At 37.9% G+C, this 25,754-nt stretch overlaps 1 protein-coding gene across 20 annotated transcripts in view; it reads right to left on the bottom strand.

The window, feature by feature from the left end:
* CCDC141 (coiled-coil domain containing 141) overlaps positions 1-25,754 on the bottom strand; it is a 235,160-nt gene that overhangs the window by 121,066 nt on the left and 88,340 nt on the right. For all 20 annotated transcript variants that reach the window (XM_047443998.1, XM_047443994.1, XM_047443993.1 and 17 more), the window contains exons 5-6: positions 25,187-25,440; positions 8,492-8,608 (exon numbers count right to left, since the gene is read on the bottom strand). In XM_047443998.1, the coding sequence (XP_047299954.1) occupies positions 8,492-8,608; positions 25,187-25,440 (371 nt within the window). The remainder of the gene's footprint in view (positions 1-8,491; positions 8,609-25,186; positions 25,441-25,754) is intronic.

Here is a 25,754-nt window from a genome sequence, read left to right on the forward strand (position 1 = left end):
GTTGTCTGTTTACTCTGTTGATAGTTTCTTTTGCTTTGCAGAAGCTCTTTAGTTTAATGAGATCCCACTTGTCAATTTTTGCTTTGTTGCAATTGTTTTTGGTGTGTTTGTCATGAACTCTTTGCCTATTCCTATGTCTAGGATGATATTGCCTAAGTTGTCTTCCAGGGTTTTTATAGTTTTGGGTTTTACATTTAAGTCCTTAATCAACCCATCTTGAGTTGATTTTTGCATATGGTGTAAGGAAGGGTTCACCTTTAATCTTCTGCATGTGGCTAGTCAATTATTCCAGCATTTATTGAATAGGGAGTCTTTACCCTATCACTTGTTTTTGTCAGCTTTTTTGAAGATCAGGTGGTCATAGGTTTGCGGCCTTATTTCTGGATTCCCTATTCTGTTTCATTGGTCTATGTGCTTGTTTTTGTACTAGTTCCATGCTGTTTTGGTTACTGTAGCCCTGTAGTATAGTTTGAACTTTGGTAACATAATGCCTCCAGCTTTGTTCTTTTTGTTTAGGATTGCCTTGGCTATTTGGGCTCTTTTTGATCTTATATGAATTTTAAAATAGGTTTTTCTAGGTCTGTGAAGAATGTCATTGGTATTTTGACAAGAATAGCATTGAATCTGTAAATTGCTTTGTGAAGTATGGCCATTTTAATGATATTCATTCTTCCTATCCATGAGTATGGAATGTGTTTCCATTTGTTTGTGTCTTCTGTGAATTCTTTGGGCAGTGTTCCCTAATTCTCATTGTAGAGATCTTTCACCTCCCTGGTTAGCTGTATTCCTAGGAATTTAATTTGTTTTGCAGCAACTGTGAATGGGATTGCCTTTCTGATTTGTGTCTTGGCTTGGCTGTTGTTGGTGTATAGGAATGCTAATTATTTCTGTACATTGATTTTGTATCCTGAAACTTTGCTGAAGTTATCAGCTGAAGGAGCTTTTGACCGAGACTATGGGGTTTTCTAGATATAGAATCATGTCATCTGCAAAAAGAGAGAGTTTGACTTCCTCTCTTCCTATTTGGATGCACTTTATTTCTTTCTCTTGCCTGATTGTGCTGGCTAGGATTTCCAATACTATGTTGAATAAGAGTGGTGAAAGAGGGCATCCTTGTCTTATGCCAGTTTTCAAGGGAAAGGCTTCCAGCATTTGCCCATTCAGTATAATGTTGGCTGTGGGTTTGTCATAGATGGCTCTTATTATTTGGAGGTATGTTCCTTCAGTATCTAGTTTATTGAAGATTTTTAAAATGAAGGAGTGCTTAATTTTATTGAAAGCCTCTTCCACATCTATTGAGAAAATCATGTAGTTTTTGTCTTTAGTTCTGTTTATGTGATGAATCACATTTATTGATTTGCATATGTTGAACCAACCTTGTATCCCAGGGATGGAGCCTACTTGATCGTGGTGGAATAGCTTTTTGATGTGCTGTTCAATTTGGTTTTGTAAGTGTTTTGTTGCGGACTTCTGCATCAATATTCATCAAGGATATTGGCCTGGTTTTCATTTTTTGTTGTGTCTCTGCCGGGTTTGGGCCTCATAGAATGAGTTGGGGAGGAGTCCTTCCTCCTCAATTTTTGGGAATAGTTTTTGTAGGAATGGTTCCAGCTCTTCTTTGTACCTCTGGTGGAATTTGGCTATGAATCCATCTGGTCTTAGGCATTTTTTTTGTTGATAGGCTGTTTATTATTTGTTCAATTTTGGAGCTCGTTATTGGTCTGTTCTGAGAATCAATTTCTTCATGATTCAGTCTTGGGAGGTATATGTGTCTAGAATTTATCCATCTCTTTTAGGTCTGTATAGAGGTGTTCGTTGTAGTTTCTGATGGTTATTTTTATTTCTATGGGGTCAGTGGTAACATTCCCTTCATTATTTCTAATGATGTTTATTTGGATCTTCTCTCTTTTCTCCTTTATTACTCTAGCTAGCAGCCAATCTACCTTATTAAGTTTTTCAAGAAACCAACTTCTGGATTCATTGATCTTTTGAATGTTTTTTCATGTCTTCATTTCTTTCAGTTTAGCTCTGATTTGGGTTACTTCTTGTCTTTTGCTAGCTTTAGGGTTGATTTGTTCTTGCTTCTCTAATTCTTTCTGTTGCAATGATAGGTTGTTAGTTTGAGATCATTCTAACTTCTTGATGTTAGAAAGACATTTAGGGGAGAACACTAAATGTTGGGCATTTAGTTCTATGAATTTCCCTCTTCACACTGCCTTAGCTGTGTCCCAGAGATTCTAGTATGTTGTATCTTTGTTCTCATTAGTTCCAAAGAACTTTTTGATTTTTGCTTTAATTTCACTAATTACCCAAAAGTCACTCAGGAGCATGTTGTTTAATTTTCATGTAATTGCATGGTCTTAAGTGATTCTCCTTGTCTTGACTCTATTTTCATTGTGCTGTGGTCTGAGAGTGTGTTTGGTATGATTTCAGTTCTTTTCCATTTGCTGAGGATTGTTTTATGTCCAATTATGCGGTCAATTTTAGAGTATGTGCCATGTGGTGATGAGAATAATGTACATTCTGTTGTTTTGGGATAAAAGGTTCTGTAGATGTCTAATATATCCATTTGGTCCAATGTTGAGTTCAGATATTAAATATCTTTGTTAATTTTCTGCCTTGATTATCTGTCTAATACTGTTAGTAGAGTTTTGAAGTCTCCCACTATTATTGTCACAAATATTTTCTAATTGAATTTTCAAGGCTCTATCTTACAAGTGAGGAAAGTGGGGCTCGCAGGGATGTAATGTATCCAAGGTATGTCATTCATTATGTAGTGAATGACATAGCAGGGGTTTAAACCTGTTTTTCTCCATGTAGATGCAACCAAGTATAGCCTTATAGTCAACTTCTAGATATTGCATTGCTCCCAGAACGTATTCTGTTCTGGAGTAAGGGAAGACAAAGAATATAGAACTATAAACATTTGGTCATTATAATTCCCTTTTCTCTAATCTAATCTGCATGGTTTTTTTTCTTTTGGTTCGGTTTGTTTTAGAAAGCCTGCTAATTCAAGTGAGAAGAGGCTAATAAAGTGGCTAAGGAAAATGTGTATCCAGCAAAGGCTGCTAGGTCTTTCCAGAAATCCTAACCCTGTATATAGGACTGGCTTCATGGTCAACTGACCTGTGCAATCACACAGAGCCTTACGTTTAAAAGGGGCCCATGCTGTCCCCATACTGAAATTCTCAATAATATTTTAAGAAAACCTTCCATAATTTTATTTTGCACTGGGCCTCACAAATTATATAGCTGGTTCTTTCTGTAAAGTGAAAAGTAAGGTTTTATAGATCACAGAACTTTTCTGTGGGAGACAAAAGGTGGTTGAGTCTCAGGGCACATGGCTGTCTACATACAATAAGGTTGGATGCCATAGTCAGGAGATATGCCAGGGGAGAACTTTTTAGGTGTGATGCTTTCTCTCCTTACCTCCCTGGTCATTGCTCACTTTCTACCTTTTTTGGATAGAAAATAGTACCCTCAGTCCAGTACCAGTAAGAGAGAAAAAACAGGATCCCATGGAAATCTAATCAGATGGATAGTTGATATTAGAGAGGTAGGCAACCTGATTTGTTTCTTCATGTGTCCACACCAACTCTCCACCATGTGAGGTGGGTAGAATACCACCCAGAGAAATAGGTCATGGATAAAAGTAAGGTCCAGAATCTAATCACTGGGAGGTCGTCCAAGGGGTATACTCTTTTGTGTGTGTGGTGGAGGGGGGGTGTTGGGGGACAAATGGGAATGGTTGAATCCTAATTGTAGCAAAAGAAGTCAACTGCACTTAGGGGTATCTCCCCAACTCACCCACAAGGGGTAAATTAAAGCACTGGCTTTCATATCCCCACTATACCAAAGTTACTGATATCCCAATGGAACATTAATTCACAGGGATAAACAACATCTGTTGACCACAAGCAACACTGAAATACAGAAGAAGCAGAATTAATGCACTGGACAGACCAAAAATTTAATATGTTAAAAAGAATATCTTAAGATATGAGGAAATACATTAGATAGGTAAAACAGAAAACCATTTATGAAGAAGAATCAATGTCAGCAACTGGGCATGAAAAATGTAATAGCTGAAGTGAAGAACTTGGCAGGAGGGCTGAATGGCAGAAGGAGTACAGCAGAAGAAAGAATGAGTGCTCTATAAGATCAGAGATTAGGAAAGAATAAAGAAATGGGGGGAGGCAGTGATAAGTTAGGAAGGATAGAAGTAGAACATCATCTACGTAATACAACTTTCCAAATTTACATTGCAACTAGAAATTAGCATACTGAAGAACACAAAGAACTGTATAAACTAGATGCAAACAGTGTTATGGCAAAAAACAATATGAGATCTATGGCTTCATTCTATTTATGCAAATGGAAACACGTAACTCTGTATTTTAGAAATAGGACTATGTCTAAAGACATATGTTGAGCCCATTAGAGTAGGTCCCTGTGAGAATGAGAATGTGAGGGATAGAGAGAATAAAGGGGAAGACAATAAGGTAAACCAAAAGGGAAGTGTAACTCTACTCTGAGGGCTAAAAAAATGTTTTTAAAGATATTGGGTGGATAGATAGATAAAAGGAGGTTAAGTGATTATCTAAAGTCACAAGGGAATCACAAAAAAACCTAAAAGGATGCTTCTTCTTCACAACGTAAAAGACTTACTACACAGACATTAATCAAATGTCCTTTTCATATCAGGCACTGTCCAATGTGCTGGGAATACCAAGGTAAGATACTGTCTACTTTAAAAAAATACTGCTACTTCCCCCGCCCAGACTTACTCCTTTCAACCAGCTCTGGAAAGGTGTTTTCTACACTCATCTTGCTTTCAATATAACAAGCATAATTGATACTGAAATGTACATCCTATCTCCTTTACAGGATTTGAAAATTAAAGAAAGTTTTGAGGTCATCTAGGCCTACCTCTCGTTGCTTCAGGAATCTCTTCTATTTCCCAACCTGTGGAAGTCTATTTTTCTGTCATGACCATGGATTATTATTTCTTTCCTACAGAATGGCTGTGGATAAGTCTATTGCCTCTAAGACAACTCTCCTTAGCCTCTCTTCTCTGGCTTACACATTATGAGGACTTTAACTCTCATCATAGACAGCCTGGTCTGATTGCTGTTTGCCTTATTCTGCCATATTCTGGTTTGACCACCCCCTCCTAACCAACAACTCATATTCCATCCATCTGTTCAAACCCCATCCTTCCAGAAAGCTGTCCTGGATCACCCCAGAATAAAGCACCACTCCCCCTTGTGCATATACACTGATGGGGGTCTCTCTAACCCCATATGATTCGGAGACTCCTGAAGTCTTAATAGCCAGTTATCTTGCCAGTGAATTATCTAGTGTCTGAAATTCATGGCAAGTATCTTTAGAACCTTTTTGTATCTACAAGTTATATGTGAGCATTCATCTTCATTTGACTGAATCAGTCTAAATAATTAGTCAACATTTTTGTAATTTGTAATTAAAGATGGATTTAAGATTGATGGCTCTATAGCTCAACCCATAGTTTGGAAGGAAAATCTTACATTGGAAAGAATGCTTCACATAAATAAATAAAAAAAGAAATCCCAATAAATAAACGAACCTCCCCCTTTAGAAAATAAATTTGCCAGGTATGAGAGTTCATGCCTGTAATCCCAGCACTTTAGAAGGCTGAGGTGGGAGGATCACTTGAGGCCAGGAGTTCATAACCAGCCTGAGAAACATAGCAAGACCCCGTCTCTACAAAAAAAAAATAAAAACAAAATTTGCCAGGTATGGGGGTGTGCAGCTGCAGTCCCAGGTGCTCGGGAGGCTGAGGTGGGAGAATCGCTTGAGCCCAGGATTTCGAGGCTGCGGTGAGTATGATTGCACCACTGTGCTCCAGCCTGAGTGACAGAGAGAGATCCCATCTCAAAAAAAAAAAAAAAAAAAAAAAAAAAAAAAAAAAAAAAAAAAGGGAAAAGAAAAGAAATTTACTCTCAGGGATGCTGTAGAGAAATAGGTTTCTATGCCTCACTTTTCAAAAACAGTTTGGCTTGAAAACTACTTGAGTACATGGGGCAATACTCAGCTTCTGCACAAGATGCAGAGTAGTTCAGGACCCTAAAGGAAGTGCATATACTTGTCTGGAACCTCCCAGGCTCAAACCATCCTCCCACCTCAGCCTCCTGAATAGCTGAGTAGCATGCAACACACCTGGCTAATCGTTTAAATGTTTTGTAGAGATGGAATCTCCCTATGTCATGCAGGCTTGTCTAGAATATTATTTATTTCTAAACACGAATGAGCTATCAAGCCATGAAAAGATATAGATAAACTTAAATACATATTACTAAGTGAAAAACACCAATCTGAAAGCCTACATACTGTACGATTCTAACTACATGACATTCTGGAAAAGGCAAAACTATGAAGACAGTAAAAAGATCAGTGGTTGTCAGGAGTTGGGGGTGTGGAAAGGAATGAACAGGCAGAGCGCAGAGGAGTTTTAGGGCAGCAAGAATAATCTGTATAATTCAATGATGTTCAATCATTCAATACATATCATCATACATTTGTCCAAACCCATAGAATGTACAACACCAAGAGTGAACCCTAATATAAGCAATGAACTTTGGGTAATAATGATGTGTCAATGCAGGTCCATTAATTGTTACAAATGCGCCACTCTGATGGGGATGTTGATTATGGGGGAGGCTACGAATGTGTAGGGGCAGGGTGTATATGGGAAATCTTTATGCCTTCCTCTCAATTTTGCTGTGAACTTAAAACTGCTCTAAAAATAGTCTTTTAAAAATTATTTTTTACATCCCTTATACCTGCAACTTAATAATATTGATGGAAAGAATATCTATATGCTTTTTTGTTTATGGACATCAGAGGTTGAAATATGAGCTATAAACTATGAGAAAAACTGTGCCCTACTAAGGTCAAACATTAACAAATATTCTACTCTAGACTGTCTTCAGGGCTAGAGGAAACCATAACTCTACAATTTATCGTGAATATAACCCCAAGGGATGTCTAAATTATGTGTACACTATATACTGCTTTTTTTGGTATTAAAGGAAGTAGCATCCTATGCAATTCTGGTGATCTCTTGTGCTTGGCATTTGGGGCTTTCGATAGAATTTTCACTGATAAAACTTGAGTTTGATACAAACAGAATAAATTGCCATATAATTCAATGAAAAAAGTTAACCTCCTAAACAGATAAACCAAATGCTGAAAAATTTTAAGAAATTAAAAAATAATCAGTCATTATTAGTCAACAGTCTTCTGTAAGTGCACCTTTTATCAATCAAATATTCAAACCAAAGACTTTGAATGCCTACAAGACACTGGAGTGTTCAAACAGAAGCAAGAAACTGAAACAAATGTGTCATGATCCCCATGAAAAGATTTAAGTCTAAATAAATGCAATCTACTGCCTCCATCCTCATCCTGCCTACTCCTAACCTCCCAGACATGTGAATATTTGACTTGTCTAGCCTGTATTCAACTACTGTCTAGTAGTGTTGGCCCATTGTTTTCTAGAGCTTTATGACTTAGCTCTACTTACAACTATCATAATCTAAAATATTAATATACAAAGTTCCCTAAATCTTGATAGTGATTATTCACTGTTCCCATCCCATCTACTATGACGGACTTCTGTTTTCTTGTGGATCAATATGGAGCCTCTGTAAAGAATTTTGGAAAGTATTTACAGACCCCCAGATGTATAAACGCACTGATTTTCAAATAACAAGACACAATGGAGAGAAGGTCAACCAAAACACTGGTGCTTTACTCATCTTGCTTTCAGCACTTCATGCTTGCATTTTAATGCATTCTATATACCTATAAGTGGCTGCCTGGCTGGTAGCCATTACTTCTTGTAAAACTGAGAAATCTGAAGCAAGTTAAAGAGCAAAAGACATGTAAATTGGAACAGCAATCAAATTATATCTGGAAGTCATAAAAGTGATGACTCATAGTGACATCTCAGTGTAGAAAAAAAATTTTTTAGAAAGCTAAAATGTATAATGTTTAAGAGCTTGGGCCTTTGTATTAGACAAAACCTAGAACTGAATTTCAAATCTGCCACTGACAAGATATATTACACTGGTCAAGTGACTTGGCATTTCCAAGCCTTTTTGTTTTATTTGTTTTGATGCATAAAATGGAGAAAATAATACCTCCCCCTTAGGGGTTTTATGATAATTTAGATAATGGATCTCATATACATACTATAGTGCCTGGCACATAGTAACTATTCAGAAAAATATAGTTATTGTTGTAGAAGCTGTTAATTTGTTTATCATTATTCTGGAAGCCCTGTCAATGCACAGTGGTATTTGCTAATGTTATTGGGATATTTTTTTACATGAACAGTAGATTAATCAAAGACAGTTCTCAGTTCTCCTCTAAATTACCCACAGAAGTATATTCAAGAAAAGTTAATGCATTTTTCAATTATTTTTAGTGTGTCTAATATATCTCTTACCTTTGCTTTTATTATCAGTTCCTCTTGCTTATGAATTCGATCCTCATTGTCTGAAAGTGATGAACCTAGACTTTGTTCCTGTAAATTTCTTATAGTTTTCTGAAACCAACAAGTAACCTAGGTAAAAGGCAACAAAGAAAGATCAAAATTCAAATGATCAGAATAAGTGAGTAAAAATTCAGAAATAGTCCCTCAACCTTTCAAAACTTAAGCTACTTTAATTTCTTTTTATATAAACCATCTCATGTATTAAAATAATATGAACAAGTTTAGAATTTTTTCTTCATTTAACCTCTACATGCATAAAAGAGAAAAAATCCCAAAAAGTATGAAAATGACTAATCAGTTCAGTAGATTACATGGCATGAATAAAATGAAAATCTCCTAACAAAGAATCAAAATAGATTCCCAAGCAGTCCAAAAATCATGAATTCATTTAAAATATATCTTCTTTCCTGGAAATGAATATGAATCTAAGTATAGTTACGTAAACCCATATGAAGATATTAAACAGCAGAGGTAGAATTATATTTTCTGCCATAAAATAGACTATGCAGAAATATTTAGTTTGCTACAAGTGCTGGAAATCTGTATCCAGAAAATAGAGAGGTTATTAACATTTACATTGACTTGATTTATAATACATGCCATATACAGTGCTGAAACTACAAATAGCAAAGGACTTGAAATAATCTGTACCTTTCTAAATGATGCCAACACTTGACATGGGGGCCCTGGATGCAGATTCCTTATCTCAATTAAAGGAGACTTAGATTTTTACACTCGAATCCTGTATAGCATTGTCCTTATGATCACATCATAATGACTGATTCTTAAGAGACTACTACAAGCTAGTTGCTTTTTGGGCATCATCTCTATTTCTCTCAACAACTTTATAACAGTCATGATATCATCATTTTAGAGATGCGGTAACTGAGTTTTGAAGAGGCAGCTTATCCACAGCCACATAGTAAGTAGCAGAGACAGAATTTGTCCTCCAGTCTGCAGGATTTCAAATCCATGCTCTTTCCATTGTGCCCTGCTGCCATGCTTGAGTTATTTAAGGTCTTACAGCCCTGCCATCAGCGGGAATGACTTCAAATCTGAAAAATGAACACTAGCAGCCCATTCAAAATAATGGGCATATAAATCCCAAGCCTGATACTATGTCTTTCCCCAGCCTAGGTTGTCTTGCCTGAAGCAGTCTCAGGATTTCTCTGAAATCCTATAACATGGAGAAATGTGTACAACAGGTAGCCAAGGAGAACTCTACATTAGATCAGAAGTTCCACACAATAAATGCACATGACACATGCGTGCACACACACACACACACACACACATCAGAGTTAAGGGCTCACCTAGAATAGGACACACCATTTATAGGGCTGATATCACAAAGCTGACTATGCGATCAAAAGGTCTACACCAACTCTTAGTATTTCTCAGCATGGAATGGGCATTTAAAATACAGGATGGAAGCATTTCTCCAGCTTTCTGCTAATTGGAAATGTCTTTGTTAACCAGCATTTTAGCCCATCATTAGTGCAAAGAAAATAATACTGGTGACCTTATAGCAGTTTTCATGTGACATATATCTCATTTTCTTCCGAATATCTGGTAATCTATGCACAAAATACACATTATCTAGTTAGTCCCCACGATACACAAGTATTGTGCTTATGTATTTACAATTATTTGAAGACAGTGTTTTTCTGGTATCCAATTAGAGCTAGATGATATGTACAATGTGCCTATGAAAACACAGAGAATATTTTATCAACAGCTATAAAATTTATTATTTTATTTTGTAAAACAAAATAATTTTCTCCCAAAAATTCAGTGAGCCCCCATAAAAACACAACTAGAGCAATGATTTAAGGGTTTCCTCAAAGTAAAGTGGATCACGAATACAACTGACTTCCAGAGATAATTTATCTTATTAAACAAAAGTGAGTTTTATTTATTCTTAGCTAAAGTGGGAGGGACTTGACATCTCAAGAATGCTTTAATAGGGACAGTTAATATAGAATCAGAGTGGATGAAAAATGGGTACAAACAGGTGTTCTCTAATCTCTAAAAACAGGTGAGAAGCCTGGAACCTCAGATAATCTTATTAAACTTTGTGAGTCAAAGACTTGTCATCTAACACATGCCAGCAGTGATGAAAGCTGGGAAAGAGTGAGTTGTTTTGATTTTTAAACGGTATCTACTGACCTCATCTTCTAGATTTGGCATATACTATTTCAACTCCCAAAAGATACTATTCCTGTAAAACAATACTATTCCCTTTAGGAGAATGTAGTTAAAGACATACGATAATGTTCAGTGTATCCTGTTCACGTTCCTGCCTGTTAAATCATGCTGACTCTCTAGATCTACAAATTTTTACTACCAGATGCACCCTGGAAAGAAACATAAAAACAAGTTGGCATAAAACTCAGAAGTAAGTAGATCATCAGGAGGGTGTTACATCTCATTATGAGGTATTCATACACAGGAGCAGACTCTTCGATCAGATTTACCATGTATGCTGTGGGATGCACACAAAATAGGCTCTCAGAGTCCTTCTGATGACAAAATAAGACACCCTAAATAACCAGGAGCATGTCAATCATAATATTCTGCCACCCAGTAAATCAGTCATTGTGCCCAGCGAGTAGCTACTGCAGACAGCTGCATAGATATTCTAAGTGCACTTTTTATAAGCTTTTAAATTATGTCAGCTGCTGTCCAGAAGCCTGAGTGGTAAGTACAGTAAATGATGCACCAGGACATTTATGTAGAACATGGTCCCTGCAAAACTATGAAAACATGAGCCACAAGCTGAGGAGATGTACAAAGGAAGGAAAACAAAAAGTATTCGAAGTATGCACTGGAAATTGGTTCTGGGCAATGATGGATTAAAGGGGTTAATTAGAATATTTTTCCTTTCTTCCCAGTTTCTATCTTCCAGTTTCATCTGAGCAATGTGTTCATGGTCATCCCATTAATTTGATAGGGCATTCTAGGTACTTGATGCCCAGAGGAGATAGAACTCAGCAGAGGAGTGAGGCAGATCTTTGTGTGTGGTGTGTGTGTAGTGATGGGATGACATCTATCACAGAGTGAAAAGAGATGGAGAAAAAGGAAAGTCAGCAAAGATGCAGAGAGGAAACAATCAGGAATGTTCAATGAAAACAAAGAGCTGCCTTGAAAGTTAAAGTGGGGTGGCAGGGAAACCTGCACTGTCCAATACGGTAGCCTCTCATCATACATAGCTATCTTGTACTTGGAAAGTGACTAGTCCTACTTGAGACATGCTCCACGTGTAAAGCACACAGCAGGTTTCACAGACTTAGCATAAATATAATGAAAATATCTCATTAAGAATGTTAGTATGAATATGAGTATGGTGGTTCATGCCTGTAAACCAAGCAGTTTGGGAAGCTGAGGCAGGTGGATTCCTTGACCTCAAGAGTTTGAGACCAGCCTGGGCAACATGGCAAAACCATCTCTACTAAAAAATACAAAAAATTAGCGGGGTGTGGTAGCACACACCTGTAGTCCCAGCTACTCAGAGAGGCTAAAGGAGGAAGATCACCTGAACCTGCAAAGTTGAGGCTGCAATGAGCCAAGATCATGCCACTGCACTCCAGCTTGGGCAATAGGAGTGAGACCCTATCTCAATAAAAAAAAAAAAGTTAGTATTGATTACCTATTGAAATAACATTTTAGATATGTCGGGTTAATTTAAAAATATTATTGCTTTTCATCCTTTTATGTGGCTTTTTACTTTTTAATTTTTTACTTTTAAAATGTGGCTACTAGAAAATTTAAAATCACATCAGTAGGTTGCATTATATTATTATTGGATGGTTCTCCAATTAAAATATATTTGGACTATATTTGTTAAATGTAGACTTAAGGACTGAGCTTTAATTAAAGGTATTTTAAAAAGTGGAGTCAGGAGAAGAGCGGTGTGAGATATCAGTTGGTAGCATTTATGAACATCTAAGTGGGAATGTTGGCTGCTACAGTTTTGATGTGTGTCCCCTCTAAACCCTATGCTGAAATTTGATCCCCAGTGTTGGAGATGGCATCTAATGGAAGGTATTTGGATCACAGGAGCGGACCCCTCATGAATAGATTAATGCCCTCCCTTGGTGGGGGCTGTGGGTGAGTTCTCCCTTTATTAGTTCCCAGCAGACCTGGTTGTTAAAAACAGCCTAGTGTCTCCACGTGTTCTCTTGCCTCCTCTCTTGCCATGTGTTCTCTGCACATGGAAGCTCCCCTTCACCTTCCGCCATGGGTGAAAGCAGCCTGAAGCTTTCAACAGATGCCCAATCTTTCAGCCAGCAGAATCATGGGCCAAATAACCCTTTCATCTTCATAAATTACCCAGTTTCAGGTGTTCCTTTGTAGCAATGCAAAATGGACTAAGACATTGGCTACATTCATTGGCTGAGTAAAGGATGATAGCTTTCGGGAAAGCAGAAGTAACAAAGGGGCTCCTTCCCACATTTTTTTTATTTGATTAGGTAAGACATGCATTTCTTTGCATGTCTTGTTCATCACTGAAGATGCATGCGGAAAGTTGATACAGGGATGTACCAAAAAGAGTAGGAAGGTTGGAAGAGTGGGACGGTATTTAGTCTTTGGCAAAGAAGGACTCCTTTTTTTTTCTTGTTGGAAGTCCCACTTTGGACCCCTGCTGGTAGATAAGAATGAAGAAGGTAAAAGAAGTTAACTAGCCTTCCTTCCAACAGAAGTATTAGGTACGAATTTAGGCAGGTTACAACATAATTTCAACCAACCTTTGCACCCCTCCTATGATAGAGATATTTGCCTTTTCAACAGATGAGGTAACAGTTCAATAGACAGTTCAATAATTTGCCTAATTTCACACAACCAATAAGAGGAAATTCTTGTAGGTAGGGACAGAAATGCCAGTGTCAGAATTCATACTATGCAATATTTTTCCTGCTCATTATATACATCTGCAGAAAGAAAGGATTCTGGAGAAGAGAAATGGTTCTCATTAGGCTATATTTATGAATGTTCTTAAAATAAAAACCAAAATGCAAAGCTATGGTTATAGAATCCAATTTTAACACAGAAATAGGTCCCGTATACAATCAGGGGCTCCGTGAAAATAGTTCATTAGAGAGGAGAATGGATGTGTGGGTCAGGCCTGTCAGGAGGAGTCTCTGAGAGCAAGAAGCCAGCTGTGGGCAGTGGTGACAGCAAGAGCAGGCTGAGAATTTCAGTTCCCAAATGACATGTGCCAAAGACAGGACTGAAAGATGGGTCATGCAAGCGGTAGAAAATGCTCTCTGATGGCCAAGGATAAACAACTCAGGCGGCAAGAAGGTGAACTTCTGCTGCAGCCCAAAGCAACACATCAGAATGCCATAAGCCACTGCAGTTTATTTTTCTGCAATTTGTTCTACAATATGAAATCAGATCTCTTTTATCTTTATTTAAAATATGCTGGAGGAGGTGAGCTAGCAATAAGCAATTCAAACGACCTTAACAGAAATGCTTAAGGGGAGATGAAAATCTCATCAAATTACTTTCATTTTCTTTTCCATGTGCAGAACTTGCTGAATAACCAGGTTCTATTAAGTACAAAAAACTGATAAAGGAAAAAGGCATCAGTTATTTATCTTCTTTAACCCAAGACTTTTTGACAGTCTCTCTGGCAATTACCAAAAACACACACATATACAGAAATGTTTTCAATTGTAGTTGATGGTCACAGGTGACAGTTCTAATGCCTGCTTTGATTTTGAAGGCATGTTTCCATAGGGCTTTGGGTTTTTTTTTCTTTTTTTACAGTAGGGGAACCAGTTGCCTTTATTTTGTATTAGACAATACAGTCAAATGAGCTCTGGACTTAACTAGCGATGACCAGATTTGAAATATCCATTTGGTCCATTAGGTGATTCTAATGCACATTAGAAGAGATGCTAAAGCTGTGTTGCTGATGTTTGTACCTGCAGACTTGGGAGGAGAGCAGGAAAAAACAATTACTGCCAAAAATGTGGATCGGGTTTCCATTTTTAGACGTATTCTGGGACTGATCTAGTTATTGGCCTGTTATTATTTGGACTTAGAGATTCCAGGAGGACAATGCTCACAATTTTCTTCTGTTGAATTTTGGAGCCCTTTGTGAATTACTGAAATCAACTGGAAGGTATCAGTATCTCCTCAATAAATTCCAGTATCAAATCCCGGTATTCTCTGTTGATGGGCAGTAGGAAAGCTAAAATATGTTATTTTAAGGCAAACTTGTTACTTTATGAACAGCTTTACATACAATCCTTTTTCCTGTTTAGAATAATAATTTTATGTATTTAACTATTCTGACTTGTATTAGCATATAATTTCTCTTCTCACGTCTATATTTCATGAAAAAATGGCACTAAGGACTTCCCTTCTTAACATTGCCCACAACAGTTATTTGTGTTTAGGTAGGTTCTTTCTTCCAACCACTTAATGGATGGAAAGTTATTTAGTCCAGTGGACAAAATCAGTACAGTAGATGTCTCTGGACCTAAATTTTATTTCTAGCATTACCTCCGACTCATTGAAAATAACTTCCCCAGCAGTGGAAAGACATTGTTTTTCAGGAGAGGAAACAGAGCCCCATCCAGTGTCTTGGCAATGTGTATCCCTGCCAAAGATATCGAAGGCATGGTTTTCCCAATATAACTTAAAGTTCTATCCTAAGTGATCTTCAGCCAATTATATTCACTGTGTGTGTGAGATAAAGAGAGTGAGAGACAGACCGACAGGCAGTACAGAACTACTTAGGAGTGGGACCAAAGTTTGACATTTTCATTTTACCTTTCCAGTTCCTAGGTCAGGCAGCTTAATGGATTTCCTACCAAAGTTTTGGCCTGAACCTCTGGTTGTTGGGAAAAACAATGAATCAGAAACTGTCATATCGACAAAATAAATAACTGGTAAATTTTAAAAGATGTCTTAATCTTTTTAAAGCATGCCATTGATTGTTTGTTTAACAGTCTCCCTACAACATTCATTAAAATTAATTCATCCTTTTGAGTTGTCTTTGGGGATTGGATCATGAGAATGAGGGAAGAGGAGAAAATGATTTCTACTCCCTGGCTAGTTTGGGATGGTGGCAGGAGAAAAGAAAAGCCAATGATCACCAGGGGCAACACCAGGGGTACGGAAGGAAAAGAGCTTAGAGAGGTAAAAGGAGACCCACAGGCAGCCCCAGGGCTTAGCAGATAGCTCAGGCAGCAACAGCTAATTCTGTCATACAATGTGCATGAGGGTTAGAAGCAACCGCAGAGCCTTCCAAAGGAGGCACACTCATCACTTCTGAGAGTGAATATGGTCACAGTGTGTGTCCCCATCCCCCTTACCAACCGACTTGGGGGCTTAATTAATAACCAAAATGTTGTTAAGCCATCAGTTCAGTTGAACAGTATACAGGAATGGCCTAATTTAATGAAAATGTAATCAACTATAATAAGTATAAGTGATCTAAAGAAATAGCTAAAGGGCGGAGAAAGTTAAGGAGGGGAAAATTGGTTTTTGACTCTATCTTGCAGCTAAAACTGATCTTTTGAGTAAACTAGACTGGATATAAAGCCATGAAATGGCATTTATGCCCTGTTCATATCAGAACATTTTAGAAAGTTAAGACTATCTAGTGGTTTATGGAATTGGTGTGGGATATGGCCAGTGTGTCTGATTTTGTATGCTAGTGATTATCCAGTAAAGCTCAGAAAGTGACCATCAAAGTATGTAGTGACATGGTGAACATTTGAAAATCATTGGGCACTTACAATATGCCAAGCTGTGCTCAAAGCATTTTAAAATATATAATATTTTTTGTTTTTACAATAAATCTATAGGTAGATACTATTATTATTCCCATTTTACAGAAAAGGACACTGAGGCACAGAGGCCAAGTAACTGGCCCCAAACAACATCCCTAGTAAATATAAAAGCTAGGATTGGTATCCATGCCATCTGCACCAGAGTCCTGTTTCAACCTTTGAACTGCAGTGCCATTGGAAGCAATAGTCATTCGCATACATTCCAGTTAGAAAAGGTTTCTTTTTCTGTCAAAATTACATGCTCCTTCTACAAATACTATCAGATCCTTTGCATTTACTGTTGGTGTGCCCTAGAGAGAATTCTAGAGATAGCCTATATACCAAAATGAAATTCTGTGATAAATTTTCATCTATGGACAGTTAGACAGTCATTTATACCTGTTACTGACCCAACGGTTTGATACCAGTGTCACCAAAATAATGCAACCCTTATTTGGCCTTATGCCAGCCAATGTATGAAAGCTGCCTTCAGAGAAGGAATTTTTTTCTCTTCTTTTTTTTGAGGCAGCAGCTCACATTTATTGATACACAAATGCATTATAAATAGATGCATTTTTAATGCAATCACTACAGATTTAGGAAATACTTCTTAACTTAAACAAGAAGACCAGATTTGCAAACATGAAAATAAAAGGTAATGCTCAACATTGACCAATGTGGTGGGAACCAGTACTCAACTCCAAGTAGTTGGAGTCAAATTTGAACAACTTTTGTGGGGGTAATTTGACAAGATGGCTCATGGGCCTTAAAACATGTTCACATTCGGCTGGGCGTGGTGGCTCACGCCTATAATCCCAGCACTTTGGGAGGCCGAGGCAGGCGGATCACAATGTCAGAAGATCGAGACCATCCTGGCTAACATGGTGAAACTGCATCTGTACTTAAAATACAAAACAATTAGCCGGGTGTGGTGGCAGGCGCCTGTAGTCCCAGCTACTCGGGAGGCTGAGGCAGGAGAATGGCATGAACCCGGGAGGCGGAGTTTGCAGTGAGCCGAGATTGCACCACTGCACTCCAGCCTGGGCAACAGAGCGAGACTCCCTCTCAAAAAAAAAAAAAAATGCTCATATTCTATCAACCCCCAAATTCCACTTTTGGGAATAACACTGTTTATCCAGGAATACTACCCCTTGGAATATGAAAGATACACTCAAGAATGCAGCCGAAGAGGCTGATCGTGCATCATTACAATCATGGGACCAGGACTTTTTGTTGATATAAATGTTTCAAAGTATTTTCACTCAAACCTTCTCATTTATTTCTCACAAAATCTCTTGGTGATAGGTTTAGTATCCCCATTTCAAAATTTCCAAAGCAATAGATAAGAAGCTCAGGTAAGTCAAGGAACTTCCAGAGAAGGACTTTTAAAATTATGCATTTAAGCTGTTCAGTCATTCAAGTTCTAAATCCTAGTTAGAAGGTGGCATCATGTATAAGAGATTACACTCACATGTGCCTGTATGGGTGCACAGTTTTACAGATGCCCACCAGACACAAGATTGGTGCCCAGAGGCTATGCTCATATATGTCATCTCTAATATCATTTACATTGCCCATTGACAAGGAATATACTGCATGATTATGATACACATTTCACTCAAATTATAAAACCACAAAACCTTCTGATATGAATTCTATTATCCTTCCTGCCCCTAAAGGTGTATATCTTATATGTGATCTGGGTGGTAAAAAGAGATTGTCTGCCCTCATGTCTTAATTCTCCTAGACGTCCTTGACACTGTCGTGTACGCAGAGACCATGAATAGCTTAGTTTTAATATATTTGTTTTTCTCACTTATGCCTGATTGGAGCAATTGAGAAAAATTACATTCATAAATCTTCTTGCCAAGATAATTAATTATGCACGAAATACTTCAAGCTGCTTCTGATTTTCATTAATGAGGCAGATTATCTGCAAAATAAGATGCTGCTGGAGCTGAATAGAAAGGTCAGCTGCTTATCATTAAATGTAAAACAAGAGTGCATTTTTATATCTGAAAAACAATGATGAAAGAACATGCTATAATTATCTTTATGAGGCTATCACATCCCACTTAAGATAGGAAAGTATGTGTTTTTCGTTTACTGTTTTCCTGCAATTGATGTGAATCCTAAGTCCCCATCATGCTGGTCACCTAATTTCTTTTCCAAAGGAGAATTAGCTGAACTATTTTAGTTCAAAAGCATTAGGCCACAGCACTTAGAAACAGAGAAGCACTAAATGTATCTTTTAAATGGCCCTTATGAGAGAAGACACATCACATATTCAGACATCCACATTATTATTCATCAGTAATCTTTGTTCTAATTTTCTACTTAATTTCCCTTTTTCTTAAGTGGTTAAAATGATTGACAAAGCTGATATTTCATTAATGTAAAGATTGATAGCTCCTGTGTTCCCTTAAAGTAAGACAGAACTGACAAAAAAAAAACCAAAAAACTTTGCCCTTCAATGAAATGTGGTTTCATATGTTCTAGAATTATCAGGTAGATCATCTGAGAACATGATAACTATAAAACCCAAATTACTAACTGAGTGACACTCAGCTTAGTGTTCCTGCTGCAATTCTTCACCACTGTACCATCAACAACGCTTTAAAATAGAACATTCAGGCCAGGCACGGTGGCTCATGCCTGTAATCCCAGCACTTTGGGAGGCCAAGAGCAGCAGATCACTTGAGCCCAGGAGTTCAAGACCATCCTGGGCAACATGGTGAAATCTGGTCTCTACTAAAATACAAAAAATATAGCCGGCATGGTGGCGTGCATCTGTAGTCTCAGCCACTTGGGAGGCTGAGGCACGAGAATTGCTTGAACCCCGGAGGTGGAGGTTGCAGTGAGCCGAGACTGTGCCACTGCACTCCAGCCTGGGTGACAGAGCGAGACTCTGTCTCAAAAAGAAAATAATAATAATAATAATAATAAACAGAAGTTCAGAAAAACTGAAAAACTCAGGTGAGATAATTTGTGCTTATACATACCTGGACTTTAAAATGATTCCTTGTTCATATAATTATCAACAGAGTAAGCGTTAATTATTGTTTATAATATTAAGAAATCGAAGCAACTCTATTTCCTCATTAATACTGTTTAAATTGTGTTATATTCAAATAGCAGAATACTATACACTTATTAAAATTAATTGATCTATTTAAACACAGAATATGTTTATGATTTTTTTCAATGTAACAAAAAAACAGGTTATAATACAGTATATATAGGCTAACTCAATTAATTTTCATTTGTTTGTTTAGTTTTTTTTAATAAATGTGTGTGTGCCTATGACTATGCTCACGCTTGGATAAAAGTCTAGAAGGTGGCAGTATGCCAAATTTCTAGTAGCAATCTGCTTGGAGGGTGATGTCTACATTTTAACAAAGTATTTTTAAATCACAAGCAGAAAAAAAAGATACTACTTTTTGTTTTAAACTATCAATTCAGTGCCCATTGAACAAGGGTAGCTGTTAACATTATTAAACTGACTTTTATTTTATCACATCCTGTGAACTCAAATAATAAAACTGGTCTTCAATCTGAGACCAATCGTCATCTGAGCATGACATTGCGGGGGCAAGGAGTGGATCAGTATGTAATATGTTGGGCCTTCGTTATCTTTTTCAGACATGATGGTAACAACTGCTAACACTAAGATAGTAGTTGGTATTATTATTCATATTTTTACAGAAAACTGAGCCTCAGGGAAGTTAAATAACTGCTGTTACTCAGCCAGTAAGTGGTGAAGCCAGGATTTGAACCCAGCCAACAGTCTGGCCCCAGGATCCGTACTCTTACAAGCATAAAGAGACAATACTCAGCTTTATTAACTAACTACTCCAACCACTGTCGCTGCTGTTAACAAGAGAAAATGTAACATAGGTGTTTTAAGATTCAGAGTCTAAATTTTATTTTTATTTTATTTTTTGAGACAGAGGGTCTCACTCTGTCACCCAGACTGAAATGCAATGGTGCAATCTTGGCTCACTGCAGCTTTGGCCTCCTGGGCTCAAGCCACCCATCCATCTCAGCCTCCCAAGTATCTGGGACTACAGGAGCATGGCACCATGCCTGGCTAATTTGTGCATGTGTGTTTTTTGTAGATACAGGGTTTTGCCATGTTACCCAAGCTGGTCTCGAATTCCTGGGCTCAAGCAGTTTGCCCGCCTCACCTCCCATAGTGCTGGTATTATAAGCATTCACCACCACGCCCAGCCTAAGAGCCTAAATTTTATATTTAAGGAAATGACTATCTTGTTTATTGACTGATTATATTTACTATAATGTTTATTGTTCTTATTATAGTTAATTTTTGTTCAAGTGCTGTTAGGAACGGAATCTAAATGACAGCCTCATTCCCTTGACCATGAATGTGCATTCTTAAAGCCTAACTATACTTGTAACAGCCTCCAATAACTAAACAGTATTAAGAGACCTTGACATGTATAACAACAGTAATGCTACACCTGGGGGAAAGAATCTGGGCTGAATGAGAAAGCTTTTTTTTTTTTTGAGATGGAGTTTTGTTCGTGTTGCCCGGACTGGAGTGCAATGGCACGATCTCGGCTCACCACAAACTCCGCCTCCCAGGTTCACGCAATTCTGCCTCAGCGTTCCGTGTAGCTGGCATTACAGGCATGCACCACCATGCCTGGCTAATTTTGTATTTTTAGTAGAGATGGGGTTTCTCCATGTTGAGGCTGATCTCGAACTCCTGATCTCAGGCAATCCACCTGCCTCGGCCTCCCAAAGTGCTGGGATTACAGTCGTGAGCCACCGGGCCTGGCCGAGAAAGCTTTCATAAGTTGTAAGGTTTAATCACAGAGAGGGAGGGCAAAGAAACTAATACGTATTAAGTACCTCTTAAAATGCTATGCACTGTGCTACATGTTTTGCACTTATTTCATTTAATCCTTATAGCAACTCTGTGAGTTAAGTATTATTCCCAATTTAAAGGTAAGGCCCATTGAAACAGCAACGAGACACCACAACACACCTATTAAAGTGGCCAAAATCTAGAACACTGACAATGCCAAACACTGACAAGGATGTAGAGCAACAGGAACGCTCATTCATTGCTGGTGAGAATCCAAAATGGTACAGCTGCTTTGAAAAATAGTTTAGCAGTTTCTTACAAAACTAAACACACTCTCACCATATGATCCAGCAATTGTGTTCCTTGGTATTTATCTATATAAATTGAAAACTTGTGTTCACATAAAAAGCTGCACATGGATGCCCATAACAGCTTTATTCATAATTGCCAAAATTTGGAAGCAACTAAGATGTCAGTAGATTAATGGATGAACAAACTGTGGTATATGCAGACAATGGGATATTTATTTATTTATGTTTTTTGAGACAGAGTCTTGCTCTGTGTCACCCAGACTGGAGTGTAGTGGCATTATCATGGCTCACTGCAGTCTCAACCTACCAGACTCAAGGGATCCTCTGACCTCAGCCTCCTGAGTAGCTGGGATCACAGGTACACACCATCACACCTGGCTACTTTAAAACATTTTTTGTAGAGACAGGGTCTCCTTACTTTGCCCAGGGTTGTCTAGAATATTATTTAGCTTTAAGCATAAATGAGCTATCAAGCCATGAAAGGACATGGAGGAAACTTGAATGCATATTACTAAATGAAAAACGCCAATCTGAAAAGTCCTGTATGATCCTAACTATGACATTTTGGACAAGGCAAAACTATGGGAACAGTAAAGATTAGTGTTTACCAGGGTTTAGAGGGAAGGGAGCAATGAAGAAGCAGAGCACGGAGGATTATTAGGGCAGTGAAAATGGTTTCTATGATGCTATAATGGTGGATGCCTGTCATTATACATTTGTTCAAACCCATAGGTACATGGAATTGGACATTTGGAATGTACATCATCAAGAGTGAACCTTCATGTAAACTGTGGACTTTGGGTTATAATGATGTGTCACTGTAGGTCCATTGATTGTAAACAAGCTATTCTGAGGGGGGATGCTGATAAAGAGGGAAACTGCAGGTATGGGGGCAGGGAACATATAGGAAATCTCTGTACCTTTCTCTCAATTTTGCTCTGAACTTAAAAGTGCTCTAAAAAAATAAACTTTACTTTTTAAAAAGCACCCCTCCCAAAAGCACTCACCTCTAAAAAAAAATGAGACCCCGTAAGTTAGAGAACTTACCAAGTCAGAAACCTTCTGCTATACCTTACTTTACTTATTAGCAAATGTATTTCTGCTTTCCAGGTTTAGCAAGGTATTTAGATTTCCTTCAAGCATGTGGCTGGGTTAGAATGTTCACTTTGAATCTTCTAAATTTTCAGGTGATTTTTTCCCCTTTTTTTTGTTTTTTTTACTACAGAGGATTCAAGTGGATGATTACCGCTATAGTCATGGGGCAGAAAGGCAAAATTACTGTTTTAAAAATAAATAAATAAAACTTACTGTAGCTATTTTCTTACTCTTGGGAAAACTGTTCTGTTTGGGAAGCCTCTTTGATGAGCTTTTTTTTTTTTTTTGGAGAGAGAAGGTCTTTGTGTTAATCTGGATAAGAGATGTTGAGGTTTAAAAGATAAATACTTCTCTGTATGATAAAGCAAGAGGAGTTTTTAATGTATTTTTGGAAGCACTAGAGGAAGGGGCTTGGGGTTGTAAAAACGTCGCAAGGACAAAAAACCAAACACCCCATGTTCTCACTCATAGGTGGGAACTGAACAATGAGAACACTTGGACACAGGAAGGGGAAGATCACACACTGGGGCCTGTTGTGGGGTGGGGGAAGGGGGGAGGGATAGCATTAGGAGATATACCTAATGTAAATGATGAGTTAATGGGTGCAGCACACCAACATGGCACATGTGTACATATGTAACAAACCTGCATGTTGTGAACATGTACCCTAGAACTTAAAGTATAATAATTAAAAAAATAAAAATAAAAAATAAAACACTACAGAAAAAAAAAAGAATGAAGAGATAAAAGGAAGGTTCCTTTAAGGGGATAGCAGCTCTGGGAACACGGTGGCTGGTCAGGATTAGGGCAGAGAGAGACAGACAGCGAGGAGCAAGTGAGCTAAAATATACCCACTCATGCTCAGAAGGACAAAGAACTTTGGAAACAGTTGTCTTACAATTTTAAGTTGTTTCGTGTCCTGAGGATTAATTTCCTTCTTGTTATGCCAGAGTCTTCAGGAAAAGACCTTTGCATTGGACGATAATGCTTTGGGGAATGAGCATGTGAAAGTGCATGTGAGAGTGTATAATGGCTAGAGCAGAGTCAGCAGGTAAAGCACAACAGAAGCAGGACAGGAGAAGCGGCAGCAGTCAGGGTAAAATGATAAAAGCAAGGCAGCTTAGAAAGTGTATGGTGACTTAGAAGGGAATGGCAACAAAATGCAAGCAGGAGAATAAATGACTGGCATCTGCATTTGGGTCTCTGCTCTATGCCACTTCCTCGGAGAGGCTTCTTTGATTCCTTCTTTGATGAAAAGTTGACCAACACATGTCAAAATTCATTACCTTATTCGATTTCATCATCAGGTTTATCATCGTACTCATCATTTATTATAAGTCCTTCTCATCACATTAGAACAATGGTTCTTAACTGGTATTAATTTGGTCCCCCAGGGGACATTTGGCAATGTCTAGAGACAGTTTTGGTTTCTCACAACTGGGGATGTTATACTGGTATCTCGTTGATAGAGGCCAGCAATGCTGCTCAGTATCCTAGAGTGTGCCAGACAGGACAGCCTCCCACAACCAGGAATTACTTAGCACCAAATGCCAATAGTGCCAAGGTTGAGAAACACTGAATTAGAAGAAAATTTCCTAGAGGAAAAAGGCACTGTCTTGTGGTCTAGCATATCCCCAGCACTTATGATAGGAACTGGTACATAGTAAGTGGTCAATAAGTATTAACTGAAAGGTTGATCATCATGGATAAGCTCTCATTTTTCCAGCTTGAAATAAGAACCAGTTTCTCTTGGACTCATATGCGCTTCCAGCTATATGAATGTCTCTTCAATTTGGATGGAGTAATAATATTAAACATATGAAAAAACCTCTTTCCTGTGTATCTAGGCCAGGAGACCTCCCTCCACATAATTTCTCCCTAAAAATTCCTTCCACTTAATCTGTACAGATTTAAACATGGAATTAAGACAATCAGAATTGTTGTGACAAACATCTCACTTATTTGAGTTGGGGGTTTGCAAAGAGAGTTCTGCCCACTCTTCACATCAAATAATTGTAGCAGAAGGAATGCATGTCAAGCACATTGACGACCCATCAGAAATGTGCCTGCAGCCTGGGTAATGAGCTCTAATGAGCCTGCAAACTCATCAACCCCCAAAGCCCTCTGACCACAGATCCTGCAGCTATGGGCCAAGGTCATATTTTTTGATTGGCATCAGACTACTCTTCTAAGAACATTATCTCTATTTTGGGCTGACAGACTTTTTTACTGATGTAAGCAGCAATCTAGCACAATTCAGCAGCATCATGCCTCTTCAACTTTTAAGAAAATTGCAATTAACATTTCAAAATGTCAAAGCAACATGTCTAAAAGTAGTGACCTAGAAGGAAGGAAGAATCCAAAAATAGAATACATTCATTCTCAAAACTACCCACAGGTGTTCTCTCATTTATACAATCAACAGTATAATGAAAAAAATGCATATATTTGTTTTTATGTTACTTACAGGGAAAAACAACATGGTAGTTTGGATGAAAGCTTTTTGGACCAAAGACCAAAAGATTTGACCATGAAGACTGACAAACTGCCCCAGGGAATGGTTAATCCATATAACAACTAATCAGCTGAGGCTGGAACATCATCCAATGCCCCTTTGGGTTACCTGGTTTTCTTGTTGGTCCCACTGACATATCTGCAGAACTTGACTCAATTCTTGCCACTGTTGCTTCAAGTACTTGTCTAGTTGTCTTCTCCTGTCTTGTAGAAGTTCAAGAAGGCGGTCAACCTTCAGACAGCTGCTATGAGCTCCCTGAGTCAACTCAGGATTCACATTAGGTCCTTCACACTTGAATTTTTCTATGAAGTCAGTGAGTTGTTGACTTTTGTTTAAAAGGGCTAAAGACCGTTCCAAGAGTTCTAGAAGAAAATTAGAAAGAAAAAAGAATAATGATATTAGCAAGCTTTTATACAGCAATATTCAGACTCTTCATAATTTAAAATATATGTAATTTTTATGTTAATAAAAAACAAGTTGTGCTGCAAGGAATTAAAATATGTAAACAGAAACTGCCTACAGTACTTCAGAGAAAAAACTGGTCAAACACCTTAGCCGAACAATTGTGATAGTGCTAACTGCCAACTGATGGGATGCTTTGTTCAGCAATTGTGTGATTCAGGACAGGGAGTAGAATGAGCGTGGGATTTTGACATTGCTGCAGTTTTCAGCGGTA

Source organism: Homo sapiens, chromosome 2 (assembly GCF_000001405.40).
Source record: "Homo sapiens chromosome 2, GRCh38.p14 Primary Assembly".
In the NCBI taxonomy this organism is placed as follows: Eukaryota; Metazoa; Chordata; class Mammalia; order Primates; family Hominidae; genus Homo; species Homo sapiens.